Source organism: Homo sapiens, chromosome 14 (genome assembly GCF_000001405.40).
Source record: "Homo sapiens chromosome 14, GRCh38.p14 Primary Assembly".
Taxonomy (NCBI): domain Eukaryota; kingdom Metazoa; phylum Chordata; class Mammalia; order Primates; family Hominidae; genus Homo; species Homo sapiens.
The window spans coordinates 75,457,360-75,481,751 of record NC_000014.9 but is presented as its reverse complement, the minus strand read 5'-3'; the positions used below and the strand labels follow the sequence as shown (position 1 = coordinate 75,481,751).

General features: G+C 48.9%; 1 protein-coding gene across 9 annotated transcripts in view, besides 4 other annotated features; it reads right to left on the bottom strand.

Annotated features, from left to right (window-relative positions):
* Positions 748-1,638: an enhancer, noted in NCBI's record as "NANOG-H3K27ac-H3K4me1 hESC enhancer chr14:75946817-75947707 (GRCh37/hg19 assembly coordinates)". NCBI's record gives its function as "activates a minimal SCP1, AML or CMV promoter by ChIP-STARR-seq in naive H9 embryonic stem cells {active_cell/tissue: H9 hESC(naive)}" and the evidence as "EXISTENCE:reporter gene assay evidence [ECO:0000049][PMID:30033119]".
* Positions 1,436-1,485: an enhancer, noted in NCBI's record as "active region_8749". NCBI's record gives its function as "activates an Ori minimal core promoter by ATAC-STARR-seq in GM12878 lymphoblastoid cells {active_cell/tissue: GM12878}" and the evidence as "EXISTENCE:reporter gene assay evidence [ECO:0000049][PMID:35858748]".
* Positions 6,937-7,438: an enhancer, noted in NCBI's record as "H3K4me1 hESC enhancer chr14:75941017-75941518 (GRCh37/hg19 assembly coordinates)". NCBI's record gives its function as "activates a minimal SCP1, AML or CMV promoter by ChIP-STARR-seq in naive H9 embryonic stem cells {active_cell/tissue: H9 hESC(naive)}" and the evidence as "EXISTENCE:reporter gene assay evidence [ECO:0000049][PMID:30033119]".
* JDP2 (Jun dimerization protein 2) overlaps positions 7,645-24,392 on the bottom strand; it is a 47,165-nt gene continuing 30,417 nt past the window's right edge. For 7 of the 9 annotated variants that reach the window (XM_017020973.2, NM_001135047.2, XM_047430942.1 and 4 more), the window contains 2 exons: positions 20,222-20,326; positions 7,645-12,462 (listed from right to left, as the gene is read on the bottom strand). In XM_017020973.2, the coding sequence (XP_016876462.1) occupies positions 12,277-12,462; positions 20,222-20,326 (291 nt within the window). In that variant the 3' untranslated portion in view covers positions 7,645-12,276. The remainder of the gene's footprint in view (positions 12,463-20,221; positions 20,327-24,392) is intronic. The other 2 variants (NM_130469.3, NM_001135049.1) reach the window with 1 other exon arrangement.
* Positions 22,314-22,862: an enhancer, noted in NCBI's record as "H3K4me1 hESC enhancer chr14:75925593-75926141 (GRCh37/hg19 assembly coordinates)". NCBI's record gives its function as "activates a minimal SCP1, AML or CMV promoter by ChIP-STARR-seq in naive and primed H9 embryonic stem cells {active_cell/tissue: H9 hESC(naive and primed)}" and the evidence as "EXISTENCE:reporter gene assay evidence [ECO:0000049][PMID:30033119]".

Sequence of the window (24,392 nt, the reverse complement as noted above, 5' to 3'; positions counted from 1 at the left end):
GACAGATGCATAATATCGTGTATCTATCATTAACAGTATCATAGGGCAACGTTTCACCACCCTCGTAATTCCTTGTGCTGCACCGTTTCTCCCTCTCTCCTCCCTGCAGCCCTGGCAACCGTAGATCTTTTGATGATCTCCCTCCTTTACCTTCTCCAGAATGTTACATAGTTGGAATCATGCAGTATGTCGCTTTTGCAGACTGGCTTCCTTCACTTAGCAAAATACATTTAAGGTTCCTCCCTGTCTTTTCATGGATTGACAGCTCATTTCTTTTCATCGCTAAATAATATTCCACCTTTTGAATATATCATAGTTTATCCATTCACCTATTGAAAGACATCTTGGTTTCTTCCAATTTGGGGTGATTATGAAAAAAGCTGCTATCAACTTTCGTGTGGACATAAGTTTTCAATTCATCTGGGTCAATACCAAGACATGTGCTTGCTGGATTACATGGTAAGAGTAAGTTTGGCTTCATGAGAAATTGCCAAACCGTCTTCCAAAGTGGTTGCACCAATTCTGCGTTTGCACCAGCAGTGAATGAGAGTTCCTTTTGCTCCACATCCTCGCCAGCATTTGGTGTTCTCCGTGTTTTGGATTTCAGCCACTCTAATAGGTGTGTGCAGGTAGCTCATTGTTTTAATTTATAATTCCCTAATGGCATATGATGTTGAGCATCTTTTCATGTGCTTATTTGCCATTTGCGTATCTTCGAGGTGTCAGTGCGGATCTTCTGCCCATGTTTTAATTGGTTTGTTTGCTTTCTTATTGTTGAGTTGTAAGAGTTCTTTGTATATTTTAGTTATAAGACCTTTATCAGATATGTGTTTTACAAATATTTTCTTCCAGTCTGTGGCTTTTCTTTCCAAAGGTCATTTTTAAAAACACTTCTGGGCTTTTCAAGTAAATGTTTAGATTTTAAAAATGAAGGTAAATACGAATGACTTCTCTTAGTTTAGCCACCCCTGCCTGGCTAGACTTCTAGTATAAATTTCCTAGTAAGGAGGAATTGGCTGCAAAATGAAATCCACACCTCTGTGTTATACTTGTGAACAGCTTTTCTATTTATGTAACTAATTTAGTAACTCTCATTGTTTATCTGTCAGTTTATGAGGAAAGAAAATCCCCCTTTTGGCAAATCCGAATGAAAGAACTGCAAGTCCTGTGTGTGGGAGGGGTAGAAACTCTAAGGCCCCACGTGGATCGTCTGCTCCTTGTGCAGGAGCCCAGTCAGGGATGGGGTTCAGCTGCAGGGGCCACCGACCCTCCCACCCACCTGAAGCAGAGCAGGGTCTGGCCCACTTGACCAGGCACCGACCCAAAAAGCCCTTCCCTAAGAAGCTGAATGTTTCACTCCTGCTTGTTTCATGAGCACCAGGAACTGTGACCTTGGACTCCCCTCACAGTTCCCTTCCTTTCTAATGAGGGAAGGGGTGTCTCTGGAGCCTGGGCTAGAGGCCGCTTTAGAAATGCAAAGGTTTCAGCTGCTTGAAGGGAATGCATTTGAGGGAAGTCTCTTCTGGTTTCTTCTGTGCCTTCAAAGAGGAACAGAGCTTTTTCAGTAACTCTGTATGAAGTCAGGGAGTTCAGACGCTCAAGTCCCTGGGCCCCAAGGAGATTTCTTCTCAGGTGGTGTTATGCAAATAGAAGGGTGGACTAAGTCTTTATTTCAAGAAAAGAAAGGCAGAGAAGGAGAATAATTATACGTTTCACATTTGGGCTATAAATACTGCAGTGAATAGGGCTAGAAGGGAAGGATTTGGGGGCTGGCGGGGAGCTGAATCTGCAAAGCCTGTGACTAGCTTTTCAGGATTTCTTCTTTCAGGAAGGGCAGTCAAGCTGGGATTGAGTGTAACGGCACCAATTAGAAAAGCCTCCCTGTGGCTGGGCACGGTGGCTCACACCTATAATCCCAGCACTCTGGGAGGCCAAGGCAGGCAGGTCACTTGAGGTCAGGAGTTCGAGACCAGCCTGGCCAACATGGCAAAAACTCCGTCTCTACTAAAAATACAAAAATTTAGCCAGGCGCAGCAGTGAGCGCCTGTAGTCCCAGCTACTGGGGAGGTTGAGGCAGGAGAATCGCTTGAACCCAGGAGGTGGAGGTTGCAGTGAGCCGAGATGGCACCACCGCACTCCAGCCTGGGCAACGGAGTGAGACCCTGTCTCAAAAAAAAAAAAAAAAAAAAAAGAGGCTCCCTTTGGATGAAGCCACCACTACAGGGATGGCCTCTTGGTCACCTGAAAGAGGCAACTATGAAATGGCCAAGAAGAAAGTGGTTCACGCATTGTTGAACTGACCACTGGGATTGGGGTGGGGGAGGCCAGGACTGCCATCAAAAGACAAAAATGTTGACATGCATGAGAGTGACCCTTGGGGGAACAGAATAAGATGGTCACCAAACCCCGAGGTACACCCAGCTGGAGTGGGGCTTTATTTCACCTTAGAAGGAAATTTACCCGAGCTTAGGTAGAAGTCTCTTGTCGCCCCAGACCTGCCCCAGTCCAGCACTGACCACAGGGACCGGTCTTCCTCCCCGAGAGACTGTGCCCTCCCTGAAGGCAGGGATTTTGTTGGGTCTATATTTGCTTTCCAGCCTGGAAAGAGCTCAGTTACTTTCGGTGAAGTCCAGTGGTGCCAGCTGTGTGATGTTGGACAAGTCTCTTATCTAAGCCTCAGTTTCTTCGACAGTAAATATTAATATAAGACTCGCCTCACAAGAACTCAGCATATGGTTGGTACTCAATAAAAACTAGTACCTGTCCCTTAGTTCCCAAGGAAGCCATCCTCTTAGCTGCAATTATGCAGTTTCTTTTTCACAGCCAGGTAATATGAGTCCATAAACCTTTATAATCATCATCTACCTTTTAGCCTAGAAAACAATGTATCAGGATATTAGAATTAAAGTGTTGTGGCTTTTGTTTGTTTGTTTGTTGAGATAGAGTCTCGCTCTGTGGCTCAGGCTGGAGTTCCGTGGCACGATCTCGGCTCGCTGCAACCTCCACTCCCTGGGTTCAAGTGATTCTCCTGCCTTAGCCTCAGCCTCCCCAGTAGCTGGGACTATAGGCACCTGCCACTATGCCCGGCTAATTTTTGTATTTTTTGTACAGGCAGGGTTTCACCACGTTGGCCAGGCTGGTCTCGAACTCCTGACCTCAAAGAATCCACCCACCTCAGCCTCCCAAAGTGTTGGAATTACAGGCGTGAGCCACAGTGCCCGGCCAAGAATTAAAGTATTGATGGAGACACCAAGGCTTAGATGTGAAGCCGGATCACCACTTGCAGACTGTACACATTTTAAAGAACTTTTTACATAATGATTGGACCCTTCTGCAGTTTGAGGAGATAAGAAGGGCTCCAAGCACAAAGGTCGGGGGGACATTTTTAGAGCAATTTCTTCGAGAGAACCTTGCGTTGCTGAGTCTCTGACTTCCTTCAGGCAGGAGGGAGGGGCTGCTGCCTCCTCTTCTTGAGCCCTGTGAGAAGGAGACCTCCATGGAACCATGTGAAGAAGTGGTTGTTCTGGGCTAAGTCTGTATATCCTGTATGTCTCTGGGCAAGGGACAGAAAATGGGATGTCAAGGGCTTCCCAAAGCCAGCGCTGGACTGTCCTGGGTTCTGTCCAGTAGCGCCACGTGGAGGATGCCGGGATGTACCAGCAAGATGCTAGAAGTGAGAGGCAGTCTCCTGGGACATACAGGAAAGAGGTTCCTGAACATAGAAGCCTCAGAAGAACTCACAAAGGTACCTATGAAAGAAAGGATCAGCTTTATATGTGCCAACTCCAGTGCACCCAAAGCCAGCTCAGAATCCCAACAGGTCAATGTCATGAGGCCATTCCTGCACCCTCGCCACTGCTCTCACCTCCTGCTCCATCCTTGGGAGGGGTCAGAAACTGGCCAGACAGCTTGGGAGGGAGGAAGGGAATAAGGGAGGAGGAGGAGATGGGCAAGGGGAGAAATAGAGAAGAGACAGTGGGTTCTCCCTGCCCCACTGCAGGCCACTAGCCTGCTGCAGGCCCAAGCTAGGGAGTGGGGAAGATTTGAACATTGAATAAAACCTGGGACTTTGAGTCTTAGACTGGAGCTTCTAATTAATAAATTATGCTTAGTATGGCGGAGGACTGTCTGCAGAAAAGCAGACAGAGTGAGCAGAAAAGTTGCTGGAACTTTCATCTGGGGCAAGAAAGGTGATCCTTATTGGGTACATTTCAAAGTGGGGAATGACATATAAAGTTTATTTTAATTTTTCGTGAGTTGTGCATTTGAAATAGCCAACCTTATGGACCATGGATGCCTCTAGCTCTACTGGGTCTTACAAGGTGTGAGTGGCAGAGCAGTTTGTACTGAAGCCTAGATCTGCTACAGAGCCCTTCCTTGCTCTAGGCCCCACTCAAAACTGGCAGGTTGGCCAGGCATGGTGGCTCATGCCTGTAACCCCAACACTTTGGGAAGCTGAGGAGGGAGGATCACTGGAGCCCGGGAGTTTAAGACCAGCCTGGGCAACATGGCAAGACCCTGTTTCTACAAAAAATATCAGCCAGGTGTGGTGGTGTCCTGTGGTTGCAGCTGCTCAGAAGGCTGAGGCAGGAGGATTACTTGAGCCCAGGAGGTCGAGGCTGCTGTGAGCCGGGTCTACACCATGGCACTCCAGCCTGGGCAACAGAGTGAGACCCTGTCTGAAAACAAAACAAAACAAAACACTGGCAGCTTTCCAAGGCACTGACAAATGGGTTAGAGGACCACTCCTTAGTGTGGTATATATGCTGCCTCCAAAATCCAGAGAGGTCCGCTGGGCCCGTGCCTCTTTCTTAGTGATAGGGAGTAAAGTGCAATAACCTGCCCTTTATTTGGAATGAGATGCTTCAGAATGCCTCAGACACTGCACCACTGTAAACATCCTCAGCGTGGCAGGCCCAGAATCCTCATGAGGCCTCCTTGCCCACATCACGTGCTCGTGCGCCACTAGGGCCTCTGGAGCGCTTGCAGCTGCTGCCCTGTAGGTCTGATTAGCACAATGCAGCACGCAATGGGAGCAGGATTCTGTGGAATGTCAAGGAGATCAAAGCTCCTGTGGATTACACAATGTGGGGCAGTAGAAGAGTTACAAATCCTCCACCTGGAGAATAAAAGGGAAAAACATTTATTCACTGTCTCTGCCTCCCACCTCTCAATTAGTCAAGGGAGACCCTACAGGCATTAACTCCCCAAATGTCCAGCTTTCCATATGGGCAAGTGCCAAGGAGGCGGCCACAGAGGCCCCCGAGGACAGGAAGTGGGAGGTACAGGGTGTGCACCTGTAGGGAGGCTTTGTCAGGTTACACCTGTGTAAAGTTGCTCACCTGTTCAGAACTGGTCATAGAACAGAGTCAGAGGATTTTAAGTGGATCAGAACAGGTGTCCAGTACTGACCACCCAGGGGTGTACCCTGCTTCAGAGAGGTAGAGGCTGACACGAACATGTAATTACTTCACAAATGTTCCAAAGCATTAGTAGTTGCTTCTTTAGGAATCACTCAAAGAGTCAGTTTACGAGCTAAACAAAAAAAAATCAGTCCCGGGCCAGGCACGGTGGCTTATGCCAGTAATCCTAGCACTTTGGGAGGCCGAGGCGGGTGGATCACCTGAGGTCAGGAGTTCGAGACCAGCCTGGCCAATATGGTGAAACCCTGTCTCTACTAAAAATACAAAAATTAGCCAGGCGTGGTGGCACATGGCTGCAGTCCCAGCTACTCGGGAGGCTGAGGCAGGAGAATCTCTTGAACCCAGGAGGCAGAGGTTGTGGTGAGCCAAGATCGTGCCACTGCACTCCAGCCTGGGCGACAGAGGGAGACTCCATCTAAAAAAAAAAAAAAAAAAAAAAAATCAGTCTCACAATATTTAGTTTTTAAAGCCAAAACAGTATGTGCACTTTACCTAACCTCCTTATTAACAATAAGTTAGCTATTTCCAAAGAACAAAGATATGCTAGTATGACGAACAAGCTGATTTCAGAATTTCAGAACTATAATATAAAGGAATAGGACCTGCATCAATCTCATTACTTTGCATTTAATGTGTGTCTGCTTGTATCTGTGAATACATGTATTTGTGTATCTACATGTGTATCTGTTTGTTGTGCATGTAACTATGCTTGTGTCTGTATCATGTCACACATCTGTGAGTTTGTGAGTCTGTAGATTATATGTCTGTGTATAGTGTGTGTTGACCTTCTGCTATGTGCCAGGCACCGTGACGGGCACTAGGGATGCACCACACAGGGACTCCATCCTCATGGCACTTACATGGGAAATAGCCTGTCTTGCCTAGTAGTGAGAAGGGTCATATTAGGTTGGTGCAAATGCAATTGCACCAACCTAATAGTTAAGAACCTCCAATTCTGAATATCCTGCTATGGCAGGCAGAATCATCTGCTCTCCAAGATGTCCACCTTCTAATCCCTGGAACCTGTGAATATGTCACGTGGCCAGGGGGAATTAAGGTTGCAGGTGGAATTAGGGTTGCTAATGAGCACACGTTAAAATAAGGAGATTATCTGGATTATCGGGGTAGACCCAATGTTGTCACAAGGGCCCTTAAAAGATGGAATAGGGAAGGTTGGGCACGGTGTCTCACGCCTGTAATCCCAGCACTTTGGGAGGCCGAGGCGGGTGGATCACCTGAGGTCAGGAGTTTGAGACCAGTCTGGCCAACATGGTGAAACCCCATCTCTACTAAAAAATACAAAGAATTAGCGGTTTGTGATGAGGGGCACCTGTAATCCCAGCTACTTGGGAGGCTGAGGCAGGAGAATCCCTTGAACCCGGGGGGCGGAGTTTGCAGTAAGCCGAGATCGTGCCATCGCAGTCCAGCCTGGGCAACAAGAGCGAAACTCTGTCTCAAAAAAAAAAAAAAAAAAAAAAAGGATGGAGAAGGTTGGGAAGAGGGAGGCAGGGAGTCAGCGTCATAGCAATGGGTGAGAAAGATGTGTGGCCATTGCTGGCTTTGAAGGTAGAATGCGGGCAGCCTCCAAAACCTGGAAAAAGCAAGAAAGTAGATTTTCCCCGAGAACCTCCAAAAAGAAAGCAGTCCTGCCAACACCTTGATTCTAGCCCAGTAAGAAGCATTTTGGGCTTTGGACATCCAGAAATGCAAGACAAAATCTGTGTTGTTTTAAGGGATTAAATCTGTGATAGTTTATTATGGCAGCAACAGAAAACGAATATACCTGTCAAAACTGGGTTCCCATCTTCAAAGGCTTCCCCTCTGCTTGCCTTCCAGTCCAGAGCTCCACTTGTAGGCGCAGTACAGTTGGCTTTCGAGCAGGGCTTGGATTGAAAAGTCAGCATGTAAGGAAGAAGTCTAGAGTCCAGATGAACCTTGAACACGCCTTAATTGCCCCTCCCGTAGAGAGCAGGGACCAGGATCCACTGAGTGTAGAGCAGAACAACATTCCTCAAGGTGTCCTCACCCCGGGGCACCCTCCCGCAGGGCTCAACCAGCTAACCTCTTTCCACCCTTTGAATTGTCTCTCTCTCTCCCTTCAGGCATATAATTAAATTTGCATAAATTCAAAGAGCATATGCTGCAATCCCATTGTAATTTCAGATTTGTTTTTATTTCCTGAGTTTGCTAAGGCAATAATAAAAACAAAACCTCCTATTTGTATTGTGGCTTGTTCTCTTTTATTGCAAAGAATATCAAATATACAGAGGAGTGTGGAGAAGATAGCCCACATCTGTGCACACATCACCCACCTCTGAAAAATCCTGTCATTCTACATTTGATGGGGATTTTAAAAAAATAAATGAAATGTTATGTGTATAGTTGAAGTTGAAGTCCAGCGTCCTACTTACCCTTGCAGTGGCATCCCTAGTTCCCTCCTCTCCGCGGCCCTCCCAGGAGCACTCCCTATGACTGATTGTGATATTGACAGCATTCTTGTGCAGGCTTTTATACCTCTATTACCCAGATGTGTGTGTAGCCATAAACAATAAAGTATCAACGTATACATTTAGTTAGAAATATGACATAAGTGGTATCCTTCCGCAGTTCACTCCCCTACCCTCCATCTCAACAGTAGGTTTCTGAGATTTATCCATATTGATACATATAGCTCTGGTTCATTCTTTTTTACCTGTTGAGTAATATTCAATTTTAGGAAAATACCACAATTTATTTGTTCTTATGCTGATCATCATTTAGGTTGTTTTCAACTTTTTAAAAATACAAACAAAGCCATCAGTGAACATTCTTGTACATTTCCTTTTGCCCCTGTGCTAGAGTTCCTCCCAAGACTAGGAGGAAAACTGCTAGGTCAAAGGATGCGTTTAGCTTTAGTTTTACTGGTTATTTCCAAATTGCTTTGCACAGTTTCTCACTGGCAGCATATCTAAGTTTCCTTTAATCCACATTTTTTTTGTTTTGTTTTTTTTGAGATGGAGTCTCGCTCTGTCACCCAGGCTGGAGTGCAGTGGCGCAATCTTGGCTCACTGCAACCTCCACCTCCCAGGTCCAAGTGATTCTCCTGCCTCAGCCTCCCGAGTAGCTGGGACTACAGGCACGTGCCACCATGCCCGGCTAATTTTTTGTATTATTAGTAGAGACAGGGTTTCACCGTGTTATCCAGGGTGGTCTCAATCTTCTGACCTCATGATCCACCCATCTTGGCCTCCCAACCTTTAATCCATATTCTTACCAACACATACTTGTTTCTGCCCATCTGATAGCTAAAGCGTCTTGTCTTTCTCAGGCCATGGTTGCATTCATCAACTCGATTGATTCTCATAGGAACCCTGGGCAGAGGTGGCACAGGTCTTATGTGTGACCACCTGGCAGGAGGGCACACTGAGGCCCAGGGAGGGAATGATGCATCCAGCATGGCTGGTTGTGACCAGTCAGGAGCTGAACAGATCCAGGAGTCTGCGATCCCAGGCATTCATCACACCATAGGGACCACGTACAGGGTCAGAACACAAACTTGGCAGCCCATCTTTACAGAATAAAACATATTTAAATAACCTGTACTATGTAGATATCAATAACTACCGACACTAACAGAGGACAAAATAATTACCATTTTAGGGAGCTTTTATTTCACAAAACACTTTGTATATCCATTCCTTTTTTGATCTTGATAACTCCATAAAAAGACTTGGATTATTACTGTTCCCACTTCACAGATAAGAAAAATGAGGTTCACAGCTAGTCAATAGAAGATTACATCATGAACCCGTTTGCCTTTAAGGTGTGTCTTCTGTGAACACCCTTGGAGATGGTTTGCCTGAGACTTGGGAATTCTTAACATGTACTGTGAGCACAGGTGGGTCTGTGCCATCTCTCCCGGCTTCCTGCACAAGTTCCCTGGCAACTGAGGTCACACCACAAACACATTTTTCCTCTCATGGGGAGGCTCAGCCTCAGGTTTTATGCACCTGAAGTCAGACTGACAATAACATCTTGGCTCTGCCACCTAACACCTGTGACCTTGGGCAGGTTACCTCTTCTGTGTGCCTCGGTTTTCTCATCTGTAATGTTGGAACGCTAGCACCTACCCCCCAGTCAGGGTGCACAAAGCAGTTGAGGTCACACATGCACAGTGGCAGGTGCCCAGAAGAAACTCAAATGCTGGCTCTTGCAATGAAGCCTATAATTGTGACTTCTAGCCACAGGAGCAGCCAGTGGTCCTGGTGAGGAAGGCTCCGCACAGCACAAGTCACTGGTGTGGTGACTTTGGAAGACAGCCCACCTGCACAGGCTAAGGAGGCTCTATTTTGGAGATGCCAGCTCCCGGTGGCCAAGCACAGGACCAGGGAAGCCACAGCCAGTGGCACACGGCAGTCCTGTAAGAACATCCACTAGGTCACTGGAGGGACCCTGGTAAGTCCACTTCATTTTTCTCATGGCTTGAAAAATATCAAAGGATTACAGCGCGAGGGGTTCCTGATGCAGAACTGACACTGCCTCACCTGCATCGTCCGGACCGACAGCCTCAAGACCCCCGAGACAGAAGGCAACCCGCTGCCACAACCTTCTGCCACAGCTGACAGTGAGAGGACCAGGTCCTGTTTCTAGGGCGGGGTGCAGGGGAGTCCACACCAAGTGTGTTGGGTGGAGGGAAACTGAGAGGAGTGAGCGAGGGAGGGATCACAGGTGTGTTAATCACCATTCTCCACTTCTGCCCATCCCAGAAGGCCTCGTCCACAATTTGGGAAGCAACCCAGGTTCACTGCTGTTCTTGACACGAAGTCATCACCAGCAACTAGTTATCCTAAGTCCAGGGATGGAGGAGAAAGAACACATGATTAGAATGCAGGAGTCAAGTTTAGTTGGGTAAACTGTAGCCTTTGCAAGCTTCAGTATACAAGGAAGCTAAAAACACCTCTCCCGCCTTCCTCATGCGTGACATGCCTTGAGAACTGCCGAGTGCCAGGTACACAGCAGGCACTGAGTGAATGCCACTGAGCTGCTCCGGCCCTGGGTGGCAGGGATTCAGCTGTCGAGGTGAGGGGGCAGAGAAGCCATCCACACCCTTCCCTGGGTCAGACACACATTGACCAGGGTAGTTGGTTCACTCTGTGATCATGGGACAACCTGGAACTCTATCCAGCCTTCCCAGAAACTAAATCTATAACTGTGGCCTCATAAGCTTCCTATTCAACCATGAGGACAATCATAGTGGGTTGGTGACAGGAGGAGAGTCACAGGCCTCTGGAGGGAGAGTTCAAACACCAGCTCTATCCCTTGCTAGCTGGGTTACCTTGGATAAGTCGCTTACCTTCTCTGAGCCTCAGTTAAACCATCTGTAAAATGAGAAGAATCGTGCCTAGTTTGTGCTCTTGTGAGAAGGGAAGAGACTATGTCTGCTTGTCACAAAATAAGTCTTCAACAAATGGTGTCTGCGAGTTTAATTCCCTGGACCTCTAATTCGCCATCTGTGAATTGGGGACAAGTGCTGTTCCCTGGCAAGGCTGCCATGAAGACGAAATGAGACAACTTATGGAGCAAGCACAGGATTCACTCCTTACTGGAGGCCCCACAAGGGCAAGACTTAGGTCTGTTTCATCCTCCAGTGAATTCTCAGGGCCTGGCACACACAACAGGCCCTCAGAAAACATCTGCAGAGTGAGCGAACACTCTGACTGCTCTCAAAATAGTAACTGCAGGTGGCTTAATGTCTCTGAGCCTTAGCTTCCTCATCTGTGAAATAGGAGAGCTGTTGTGAAAATGAACAGGCCTATAGCAGAGGCTCCAAACAGTCTCCGACCCTGAGAGGGCCTTGCACCCATTCCCCAGGCAGACACCACGCAAGGCGGCTATGTAAGTAAGAGCAATGTTTACTGAGCGATACAGGACTGAGTACTATGAAGGGTTTACAAGGATGGAAATGCACCCCGCCCCCGCCCTGGCCACCCCCGACACCCAGAGACTACAGTACTTAGGAGTTACACACAACGGCCGTAACTGGTGGCTATCTGTTCATAACAAACAAACCATAGCATATTTATACTGTATCACATCGAGTGATTATAGAAATCCATATATATATTGCTTGTATAAAATCTTTTTTTTTGTAAAAAATATTAAAAAAAAAAAAAAAAAGGAAAGTATAAAAAACATGTGCAGTTGAAAGCCCTGCCAGGACAGCCAGTCTGTAAACATTCGGTGAGTATGTGCTTTGGAAGGGCGCCCGCGCCTCAGTGCCCACAGCAAACTCCAGCAGGGCTGGCGAGGGTGCGCCCGGCTGCCGCCTCCTGGGCAGGGCCGCGCTGGACCGAGGTGGGTGGGGGCATCAGGGCCCCGCAGCACGCCCCTCTCCAGCTTCGCATCAGGGCGAGGGGCAGGGCTGGGGGCAGGTGGGTTGCAGTTTCATTCTGAGTTCCATCCTCAGCCGCGTTTTGGTTGCAACTCATGGCTTTTCCTGGCTGTTCGGAGGTTCCTTGGATGGGTGCCCTGGTGAAGAGGCCAGAGAAGAGCCCAGGGCTGCCTCGTTGGGCGTCTCCCTGGCCTCGGTGCCTCTGTCCTGCCTCCTTCAAGTGGGGCCCCAGGCAGGACAACCCTACCCGAGGGTCAACTTTGGTCTCAGCGCTTGGTCCCTCTGGGTTTCCTCAGCCCGCTCTTCCTCCTGGGTGGCTGATCTGAGTTTCACAAAAAAGCTCGGCTGATGCTGGCTGTGCTGAACCTCATTGTACAGTTTTTCATGCACCAAAGGAAGGGCCATCTGGGGCCCCCCTCCTCCTCTCTCTTCGTCACTTTTCCTTCTCCTCTTCCTCCTCCTCCACCTCCTCCCAGCCCATGGTCACTTCTTCTCGAGCTGCTCGAGCAGTGGGTTGCCTTCTGACTCGGGGGTCTTGACACTGTCGGTCCGGACGATGCAGGTGGGGCGGTGTCGGTTCAGCATCAGGATGAGCTGCTGCCGCTCCTGCTTCAGCTCCTCAATCTGGGTCTTCAGCTCTGCGTTCATGAGTTCCAGCCGCTCGGATTCCTGTATACCAACACAGAAGCACGCTGTGAGTTTCACGGGGACTGGCTCTGGGGAGAGGCTCTGCCTGTGGTTAGGCACAGGGCACGCTGGGCTGGCACTGGCCTGTTTTCTGCAGGAAGAAGCACAGACCCTGCTACTGAGCCCCTGGCTAACTGACTTTCTGCAGGCAGTGCCTGCCACAGCGGTGACACTGGCCTGTGTCATGTCCAGGTTATATTCTAGGGCCAGCCAGACTCACGTCCCACCTCTCTCCCCTCCCTCAATCCACCCCAGCTTCAGTGACCACCTTGCTGTTGCTCAAATATGCCAAATACTCTGCCGCCTCAGGGCCTTTGCACAAGAAAGAAAGGGTGGGCAAAGAAAGGAGGCCAGGTGGACCTAGAGCAGGTCTACGGAGCAAGCATGGGGGGGCCCAAGAGGGGACCCAGATGGCAGTGTAACGGCAACGTGCTTTGATGTGTGACAGACACATGTGGGAGATATCTTGGCCGGTGGGATCAGTGAGTGTAGTGTAGTCATGTCATTCCTCCTAAAACATGTGCTTCCTAGCTATTAGTCTATAATTATTTCAATAGCCTCTTCCTTATCCCTATAATCTGGAAGCTTTGCCCACAGACAGGGAATCAGCAGTCATCCTGCTGGATCCCAAATGAGGTTTCCAATAGACCTTGAGTGAGATTTCCAGGGAACTTCCGGCTCAGCTGGAGAGGTTCCAGGGGAAGGAAGGAATGTTGACGATTTGATTCGGGAGGTGGCGAGGGTTACATGTCCATCGTGTAGATGGGAGATGGGCATATCGATTCAAGGCTTGGGGGATTGAACAGTAAAACAGCATCTGAATGATTTTTCTTGGATTATGTCTGAAAACTTTGAGACTTGGCATTTATTCGAGGGCCAGCAAAGTTTCAGACCAGTGGTTCTCAACTAGGACTGATTTTTGCCTCCCAGGAGACATTTGGCAATGTCTGCAGACATTTTTGATTGTCACAACTCAGAGGGAGCTGTGCTACCAGCATCTAGCAGGTAGATGCCAGAGATGCTCTAAACACCCTTCAATGCACAGGCCAGCCCCACAAGTATTTAGTCCAAAATGGCGATAGCGTAAGAGATTGAGCAACTTGTATCAGTCAAAGAGCAAGCAGTAGTTGCAACTGCGTATGTGACAACCAGAGGGCCCGTAAGCCCATAAGCCTGCCAGTCCTCCTGGCAGGGTACAGGTGGAGCGGCCTCCCCAGGGGGTCCCCAGAACCCTCAGTGGGCCCAACCCTCTCCCTCCAGGGGTCCCGTCTTCCTCCCACAGCTGGTCTGACCGAACTGTTCCTTGGCTCATCTCTGAGGTGGCAGCATGAGTGCCCGGGAACTCTGAGACGGGCAGGCCTCGTGACCAGACGCTGAGAGAAAACAGCCTCACTAAAGGAAAAAAAAATGCTCGGGGAAAATATTAAAAACCAGCTCTGGTGGTTTTTGGTTCCACAGGCTGGGACGTGACTGGGAAGCTGGCCTGGTCCTCTGTTCTGAGAATTCCAAGAGAGGCGCATCTCGGAGGGCCAGGAGAGACCCCTCGTGAATCCATGGAAGCCTGTGAGCCCTCGGGCTGGGGCAGTTAGGTGCCAATGTCAGCCCCCTGCTCACTGGTGACTCTCTGGTGACCTTGGGAACTTCTCACAAACCCTCTGACCATCACGGTCTCCCCAGCCCAAGGGCTTAGTTCCATCTTCAAACTCTCCTGAGCCCCTGCCTCAAGGGGTGTCAGGGTAACCCACCCATCTGTGAGTGTTTGCTGAGGCCCTGCTATGTACAGTGAATGCCCTGGGGAATCCAAGAGCCATGAGCCCCCAACTGGCTCTTGTGGCCTTTCCACTGTAAGGGGAAGAAGCAATCTGTGCAACAAGGCAGAGCTTACTACTGTGTGACCAACAGCCACCCAGGGTTCAGAAGACCTTAGAGAGGGCTAAAGAGCGGGTCTGACCTTGGGCATGAAAGATGGGTTGACTCAGGCTGGGTTGAGAAGGGGAAGGAGGGACTTGCGGGTGGAGAACCCTGAGTGAACAAAGACCCAGGCATGGGAAAGCTTAGGATGGGTTTAGAAGGGAAAACTACTCCACTGTGATCATAGCTCGCTTTAGGACTTAGTAGGGTAGAAAGTGAGAAGGTGGGTTGAGAGCCAGCCTGTAGCTCTGGAAAGCTTGTGGGTTCAGAATCTGAGTCTAGAAGCAAGTTTCTTAACTTCTCTGAGCCTCAGTTATCTCCTCTGTAGACAGGTGAGGCTCTTGGGGATTAGATGAACTCACAGGGAAAAAGCACTCTGTAAACCAGAGAGGCTTACTGTAACTTATAAGCAAGAGAATAGCATAAAGAAGAAAGAGAGGAAGAGAAGGAAGACGTCTCAAAGAAAAATCAGCTGATCTTGGTGACTAGCTGGATTTGGAGAAGGAAGGAGATAGGGCAGAGAGCTGACTATGAACCCAATGGAGGGTCTGAGGAATGAAGCCTGGGAGGGCAGCTGTTCTGGAAAGCGGTGGGAAGGAAAAGGAGGAGTTTGTTTTGGGTACAGTGAGTTTGAAGTTAAAACTGGACATGCAAGGGGAAGCCTCTGACAGGCAGAATTCAACAGCACTGCACACATAGATCTGCCTCCTAGAAATTACCACGTGTCAAACCAACTCTATGTGGGAGCGTCTGTATCACACACAAAGATCAGTGCAGTGTAGGGTAACTTGCTTTACTCATGCAGCTATCATACAAAGAACATTATATTCTGTGGGTTTTAAATGTTAGGGTACATCATTGAATATCCTGAATTCTGACTGTCTGGCTGTCAGAATGTAACTAACTGCTTTTTTTCTTTTGAAACAGAGTCTCACTCTGTCACCCAGGCTGGAGTGCAGTGGCATGATCTTGGCTCACTGCAACCTCTGCCTCCAAGGTTCAAGCAATTCTCGTGCCTCAGCCACCCAAGTAGCTAGGATTACAGGCATGTGCCACCACGCCTGGCTAATTTTTGTATATTTAGTAGAGACAGGGTTTCACTATGTTAGCCAGGCTGGTCTCAAACTCTTGGCCTCAAGTGATCTGCCTGCCTCGGCCTCCCAAAGTGCTGGGATTACAGGCATGAGCCACCGCGCCCAGCCAGAATGTAACTAACTGCCTTTTAGTTTTACTGCCTTCCACACTCAAAGAGTTATTAGTTGGCTCTACATATTTATTTATTGTGTAAATATAAGTTGAGTTCAGAAGAATCTTTTTTTTTTAAACCATGATTGTAGAAGTGGTTTGTGACTTTATAACAACAATTATCTAATTTGTTTTCCTAATTAATGAAGGAACTGAGCGAAGATCTTTCTCACATTAATTATGAAGCATATACCTCCGGCTGCATTTTTGTTTATTGTTTTGACTTCTGTTAGATATTTATTGCCCCAGAGAAAATGAAACCATTTGTTGTTTTAGAATAGAATTAGTGCATATTAAGGTTCTGCCTCCTACACTGTGGTCGGCAAAGGCAGTAGAAAGAATACAAGGTGAAGGGCTGGGTGTCCTGGCTTTTAATCCTGGCTGTGTGAACTTGGCCACGTCACTTCCTCTCTCTGGGCCTCAGTTTCCTCCCAGAAAATATGATGATTGGCCCAGGGGACTTTAAGCATTAAGATTGTTTGAATTGGCTGGGCATGGTGGCTCACACCTGTAATCCCAGAACTTTGGGAGGCCGAGGTAGGAGGATCACTTGTGTCCAGGAGTTCAAGACCAGCCTAGGCAACACAGGGAGCCCCGGTCTCTACAAAAAAACAGAAAATTAGCCAGGCATGGTCGTGTGCTTGTAGTCCCAGCTACTCAGGAGGCTGAGGTGGGAGGATCACTTGAGCCTGGGAGTACAAGGCTGCAGTGAGCTATGACTATGCTACTGCACTCCAGCCTGGGTGACAAAGTGAGACTCTGTCTCAAAAACAGCAACAGCAACAACAAAAGACCATCTGAATCTATATTTTTTAAAAAGCTATTCTAAGGCATATAAAATAGATTTCCACTAAGTTTTTGTAAGAGCTGAGAAGCAGCCTGATATGCCCCTTTGAGCCTGAAAGACCTGTCTGGATTAAAATCCTGACTCTGCTACTTGCTAGCTATGCTTCCACAAACGAGTTTCCTAATTTCTTTTGAGTCTGGGCAACCTGAATATTGTGTGGGGCACAGAGGAAGCCCCAGGTTCTCGTCCTGACTCGGCCACTGGGTGACCTTGAACTTCATCAATGGATAGGACTGCCTTTCCTCTTCCCAGGGCCACTGTGACCATCAGGAGAGAGTGGCTATGAAGACCAGAGGGCACCACGGGAGTGTGAGATAGCATTATTGCTACTAACATCTAGAGAACCTGGGTTAGGACAGCAGAGAGACAGAAGCTGCCAGCATTATACAAGGCAGAAGCCTCAGGGCCACTGCTCCTGACCGCAGATGGAGGATGTACTGAGGCAGCCCCAGGGCCTGTGGGGTGTGGACCTGACCCCTCCCAAGGCCTGCCCCTTCCCCGGGGTTCAGGGCCTCGGCTAGTCTAGGCAGGCGAACTCTGAGATGCAGTTAAGAATCTTCCAGGTGTGGATCTGGTTGTCCAGGGGTCAAGGGTGGGACGGTGGCTTTTTACCTATGACATATATACAGTTGTCTCTCAGTAGCCATGGGCGACTGGTCCCAGGACTCCCCGAGGATACCAAAATCCGAGGATGCTCAAGTTTCTTACATAAAATGGCGTGTTATTTGGATATCACCTATACACATCTCCCGTATACTTTAAATCATCTCTAGGTTACTTATAATGACTAATACGATGTAAATGCTATGTAAATAGCTGCTATGCTGCATTGTTTAGGGAATAAACAGTACAGATGCTTTTTTTTCTGAATACTTTTGATCTACTGTTGGTCAAATCACAGCTGCAGAACCCTTGGCTATGAAAGGCCGCCTGTAGATATTTGTCCCAACTGTATATATCCCCTTACTTAAATAATTACTATTTATTAACAATTAACATATGTATCTCTGAGCCTTGTATTTTACCTATTAAAAATAAACTACAAGAGAATCCCCCAGGTCTGCAGGCACTGACTGTCAACACAGCCGCCTGCATTCATGCCCTAAACTTCACACCAAACCTCTGCTTCCAAGGCTGGGGAGGAGGAGGAGAACACAGGGGTGAGGGGAGGACTGGGCTTGGGCCCAGACAATGCTGCCCAAATCTCCTCCCAGACCCCAAGGCCGCGCACTTCTGTCTCACTGGAACAACATGACACTTCCAAAACTGATCCTTCTACCTCAATCTGTGCCCCACATTGCCGCCAGAGGGATCTTTTGAAGGTGTGCGTCTCCCCTCCTGCAGCCCTTCAGTGACTCTCCATGACCATATAATTCATCATCCTAGAGCAGCACTTGTGAGAGTGAAGGAAGGGGCTACTAATCATTAGGCCAGGACAACAGGCACAGAATGGGCATGCCTCAGGCAACCCAGCATCTAGCATCACCCTATTATGAGGGATCTGGGCCCTGCCTGCCTCTCCACCCCACTACTTGGTACTCTAAACTCCAGCTGGTATCCTTTTCAATGCCTTAAACACATCCTTAAACAGCACCTTTTGCCTTTGCTTGAACCCTTCCATTCCTCATAACCCCCTAGGGCCTCCATCTCACTGCTCCTACTCCTCTTTTATGTCTGAATTGAAGCAGCCTTTCCTTAGCCTAGACCAGGACAGGGCCCCTGCTGTGTGTTCTCACAGCTGGCTAGGCTTGCCCAACATAACGCTCGGCACACGTCACTTTCCTTGTTTCCTGCCTCCCATCCCACTGCCGACACCGCCTGCCTGCCCTCTGTGCCCTAGGCACTCACTAAACACCTACTAAATGGACGGGTGGATCAGCAAAGGATGAATACATCCAAGCCCACCACTCGCTAGCAGTGTGACCTTGGCCAAGTAACTTGACCTCTCTGAGCTACAGGTCAGTCTCTAAAATGGGGATAAATAATATTATCTCACTGGAATATTATAAGGATTAAATAAAACATGGGAAATGCCTGGCACACAGTAGGTGCTCAGCTAGTGTTCCTGGAATGTGATGGGCAGTGAGTGCCATTCATTGGGCACCAACTCTTTATTGCACTGGTGTGTCACTAACATGCTGTCCGCTAGGGCGTATCTTGCCTGGTAACTGGCTGACAAGCTCTTGAAGGCAGGGATCTCACGTGAAGCTTCTCTAGTCCCTGCTTTCTCATCCAGCTCTGCTCATGGCAGGCACTTGGTGCTGGAAATGAGGTATGTGGCACTTCATCCATCTTGAAGGCTCGTGTCTTAGAAACTTCCTGAAGATTCCCAGCCCAATGTTGTAGCACCATCTCTTCCAACGGGCTCCCAGATCCAGGAATCTAACTCTAATCTACAATAACCATTCCCTGCACTGGACACTCACAGCCTGGAGGTAGATACACGGCCCCATGCTGTCTACACCCATGACCACAGAATAGCTCTCTGCTTGTTGCAAGTGTGAGAAGATGCCCATAGACCCTCCAGAGTCCAAAAACACCAGGCCAATCTAGCCTTGTCTCTCCAGCTCCCACAGGAGGACCGTGTCTGCTGCTTCCTGTGTGCCCCCAGTGTACCCAACACACGGATGCACATTTAGTACATGCTTAAAAATACCCGTTGAATCAATTAATGAACAAAAGAGCAAACAAATGAATGAATGCCAATATAGCAGAGATGTGGGCAAATTACTCAGCCCCACACTTCCTTAGTTTCCTTATCTGTAGAAAGAGACTAATGAAGGTACCCACTTCATATGGTTATTATCCCAATAAAATGAGATAATGTACATACAGCATTCAGCACAGCACCCAACTTTACAAATAGTGGCAACTATTGTTAGTTACTGTGTACTTACAGAATAGGACCCGCCCCTATGTTATTATTATACATTATCGTTATTATTATTCAGCAAAGAACCAATGATTAGGGGTGGAAAGACCAGAGACTCCTGGCCTGCACTGATTAGCTTTCTGGTCATGTTCCCTCACTGCCAGCCACCATTTCTGAGATGCAGGGAAGCTCTGAGAGGCAGGACTTGGGAGAAAAAGAACAAACATCCTGCTTGGCACATTCCAAATGAAAGGGCAGGTAGGGCCAGGAGGAAAAGCAACCCCTGGCTGACCTCTACATGCAGAGCTGACCTCTTATTCCCAGAGGTAGCAGCAAAGAGCTTGGAGGTCACCTTCAGTGGAGCTGAGGGGCTGGCCAGATGGCATGCAGGGCTGGATAAGACACCTGCAGCTAAGGGAAGGAGCTTTTCTCTGTGCAAAGTTAGCCAGGCCAGAGGCTGTGTCCAGTGCCCACATGCAGGATGTTACTACCTAGCTTCATTGGCACCCACCCTAGACGACTTTGGTAGCCACCAGGGAACCAAAATAGATAGTGGCAGTCCTGGGCCATCTGGGTCAATCAGCACCAAGGGTCTAACCTCAGTGGAGGGGAATTTGGCTCCTCCTTCCTTCTTGGGCTTCCAGGGGTTGTGTGGGCAGGAACTGCTGAAGGCTGCCCTTGGTTGTCTTGGTTCAGAGATTGGGGAGGAAACAGGAGGTAGGAAAGAGCAGAGGGGCCAAGGCTGCTTTGGCAGCTGCCAGCAGATGCTCATTGACTACAGAGACATCTGATGGCCTCTCCTGGTCCAGAGTACACAAGCTCACTCCAAGGAATGGCAGGCCTCCCCACCCACCCGGTCAGCTCACCCGCTGCAGAAACTCCGTGCGCTCCTTCTTCTTGTTCCGGCATCGGGCTGCTGCGACTTTGTTCTTCTCCCGGCGCCTTTTCCTTCGCTCCTCTTCCTCATCTAGCTGTGAGGGCACAGAGCCACTGATTAGACACTGAGGCAGGCTTGGAGTACAGTTTCTGTCCTGACACATAGACAGAGGGACAACTTCGCCTTTCTAACCCACATCTCGGCAGTGAACAAGTGATCACTTCTGCCAGCCCACTGCCTGGAGAGTTGGAAATACCTCCCAGCCAGTCCAAGGATCCTCTCAGAGCATCCCAGGGAGGAGTCAGTAGCCCAAACGGGCAGGGATTCTGCTCTGGTTTGAATGTGTCTCCCAAACTTCAAGTGTTAGAAACTTAATCCCCAATGCAACAGTGTTGAGAGGTGACACCTTTAAGAGGTGGTTAGTAACAATATTAATGAATGGATTAATGTTGTTATTAGAAAAGGGGATTTGTTATAAAAGGAAATTTGGCCCTTTCTTGCTGTCTTGTACTCTCTTGCTTTCCCACCTTCTGCCCTAGGATGATGCAGCAAGAAGGCCCTCACAAGACACCAGTACCTTGATATTGGACTTCACAACCTCCAGAACTGTGAGAAATAAATTTCTTTTCTTTATAAATTACTCAGTTGGTGGTATTCTGTGATAGTAACACAAAATGGACTAAGACAGATATCCAGGTTCAGATGTCCTGAGGGAGAAGCAAGCCCAGAGACTCAGGAAGCCCCTCGCTTCTGCCCCCAGGGTCCCTCAGCTCTCCCACAGGTGGACATTCTGGGGGAAGAATATGCAAAAGCAGAGAAAAGGATTAAAGCCAGATGAGGAGTTCAGGAGGCCAGGAGCCTGGCAAATCTACTCACACAGAGGTGGCACCCAACGGGCGGTGACGACCTTTTCTTTTGCCCAGCCCAAGCCCTCTGGGTACAATTTTCCAGGCCAGTGGTTCCCAGGCACTTCCTTTAAAAACGTCTTGGGCATGGACACAGGTTCCACATTCCACTGCCACCTTCCCACCTCCTTGACTATCTTTGTCCTCTCCTCTTACCTTCTGTTGGGATTTAAGATCTTCCCCGCTCCTCCATACCCAATGTTCCTTTCTTGGCCCTTTCCAAATGCTGGGATCCATTTCCTCTTGTCACTAACAGTCTCCCCAGCCTCCTCATCTGGCTTTAATCCTTTCCCCCAGGATGCCCACCTGTGGGAGAGCTGAAGGACCCTGGGGAACAAGCAAGGGGCCTCCTGAGCCTCCGGGCTTGCTTCTCCCTCAGGACATGTTAATAAACTCACCATGCGTGAAATACGACCCCTGGAATGGGGGAGAAGGAGACTCACTGCCCACTAGCACAGACTTCGAATCAAAGTTGCTGTTGTTATTGCTCCATTAGTAATAATAACAAGAGGTGCCATTTGTTGCCTACTTTGATAAATGCTTTAAACACATGTCATTTAATCCTCACCATCAAAGTCTTATGAGGAAGTTACTATTACTGTACCATTTTACAGATGGTGAGACTGAGGCTCAATAGTTCAATTTGCCCAAGGCCATACAACTACAAAATAGCAGATTAGGATTCAAACTCAGATTTCTCTGGTTTCAAGCACCCTGCTCCTGACCACCAGCCCTTACAGCCCCAGTCCATCAGGAGCACTTTGATGTGGCACCTCTTGCTGCCTCTTGCCTACCTACCTGGTAGGTGATCTACCAGGAAAATCTGAAGGACACCCAGGACCAGCTGGGCTGGGGACAGACCAGAGTCATAGGCCATTAGAGAAGCCGTTGGATTGTCCTGGGCTTGCCAACTCTCTCACTTCTCCAGCCAGGGAGGAGGGTGTGGGGGGTGACTCTGGCAGCCCAAGGCCTGGAACAAGGTCTCAGCCCAAAGGGCTATAGGCCAGGAAAATAAACAGCCTCTCTCTGCACACTCCCAGCATGCTCTGGGGGCTCAGGACAGAGCGCCTGGGCCCGAGACCAGCACCATGGCCATCGGCACAGGCCTTGGCAGGGCAGCCCCCTTTCTGCCTCCTCACCACCTCTGAGCTTCTCCCTGCCCCACTCCCACCCCACCTGGGAGTCAGCTGCAGAGGCGCCTCGTCAACACCGCCACACCCAAGCACCTCCCAGTCCCTTGGCCTTCTTTGAAACTGAACCAGAAGTGACAGCTCCTCTGGCTGACCTGCATCTGGGAAAATAGAAACCTGGCTGAAATTGATTCCGCCCAACCTTAACCTCACCCCCAACAAGGCCAAGGTAACCGTGACGACAGGCAGAGGGAAGGAACTGGAGGAAGTGGCTGGCGGTGCAATCTCCCTTCGGCCAGGAGGGTTTGCCCACAAACTGCCAAGGTGATGTGTGCAGCCTGGGTACTGCAAGGCCTTGTGTCCTCCCCTGAGCAACCAACCTCTGCCCTCCAAGGCTTCAATCCCTACCCCCATCCTGCACAGGGCCTTATTCCACAGAAAGTCAGAAGCAGACAGAAGCTGCTTTAGCAGCAATGCAAAAAGATTCAGAGCTGGAAGAAAGTTTAAGAGATCAACTGGGCCAGGCTGAGGCCCAGGTCAGGGGCCGCTCCTCCTCCCCTCTCCAGCCACGTTCATCCCCTCCTGCATCACCCTCTAGTCCAAATGTCTCACCCTTCTCCAAGCCAGCCAGGCCCTCTCAGCCTTGAGTGAGATATCCTTCCTTTCCCACTTGGTAAACTCTTAACTGAACCTCGAGAGTAAACATCACCTCCTCCAGGAAGGGTCCTTTGACTCCCCAGATAGAATCAGCTGCTTTTAGCTAAAAACAGAAATACTATTCAATCCAGCAATCTCATTCCTGAGTATATACCCCAAGGAATATAAATCATTCTACCATAAAGACACAGGCATGTGTATTTTCATTGCAGCACTGTTCACAATAGCAAAGACACAGAATCAACCTGAATGCTCAATGATAGACTGGATAAAGAAAATGTGGTACATATTACACAATAGAATATTATGCAGCCATAAAAAGGAACAGGATCATGTCCTTTGCGGGAACATAGATGGAGCTCAGGTTATTATCCTTAGCAAACTACCACAGCAACAGAAAACCAAATACGGCATGTTCTCACTAATAAGTGGGAGCTAAATGATGAGAACACACGGACACACAGAGAGGAACAACACACACTGGGGCCTACTTGAGGGTGGAGGGTAGGAGGAGGGAGAGGATCAGAAAAAATAATTATTGGCTACTAGGCTTAGAACCTGGGTGATGAAATAATCTGTACAACAAACCCTCGTGACATGAATTTACCTATATAACAAATCTGCACACATACCCCTGAACTTAAAAGTTAAAAAAGAAAAAGAATCCGCTGCTTTTTTGGTGCTGCTACAGCACTGTAGGAGTCTCCATCGCATCCTACCACAAGCGTCGGTTTGTGTGGGTGCCTGTTTTCCCTGCTAGCCTGAAGAACCGGACCTGAGCATTCCCGGCACCTGGTACAGAGTGTGGCACTCAGGAGGGGCTCAACAAATGTCACTCAGATGAATGAATGGAATTCAGGATTCCAGAGAGAGATGCTACAGGCTTAGATTCTTTCATTACAAAGTGACTTATCACCCGTTTGCATCTGCATGGCCTTTTCCCCAGCGCTCACGGGAGCTTTCTCTGCCGGGGTGGCCTCTTCTCTCTGTTTGTAGTAGGCCAGCAAAGCTGGGAGCCTGCCTTCCCTAGAAGCACACTGGCTGAAGGCAGAGTTTAGATTTGGGGGCACAGGCCCCTGACAGCTATGGCAAGTCTGCATGAGCCCTAAGCAGGCCAGGAAAAAACTTAGGGTGTGTGCTGAGGCCTAGAGCCCCCAGTTCCACAGCCACCACCAGCTTCCAAGCCCAGCCCCAGGCCTTTCCTGCACCCATGCCCCCAACCTTGGCTGGTATCTCCCAATGAGGCAAGATGTGATCCCAAAGCCCCATCCTCATACCTTCCCCATTGAAACTGTGCTGCATCACCCCTAAATCCTCGCACTGCTATTTAAGAGCTGCCCAGAGGTGTAGAAAACAGCTGTTAAGGCCCTACCAGAAACAAGACAGGCATTTGGCAGATCCCCTCTGCCTTCATGCCCCACAGCTAACATGGCCTGTGCCATCTGTACCCCTAGACAGGGACCACTTG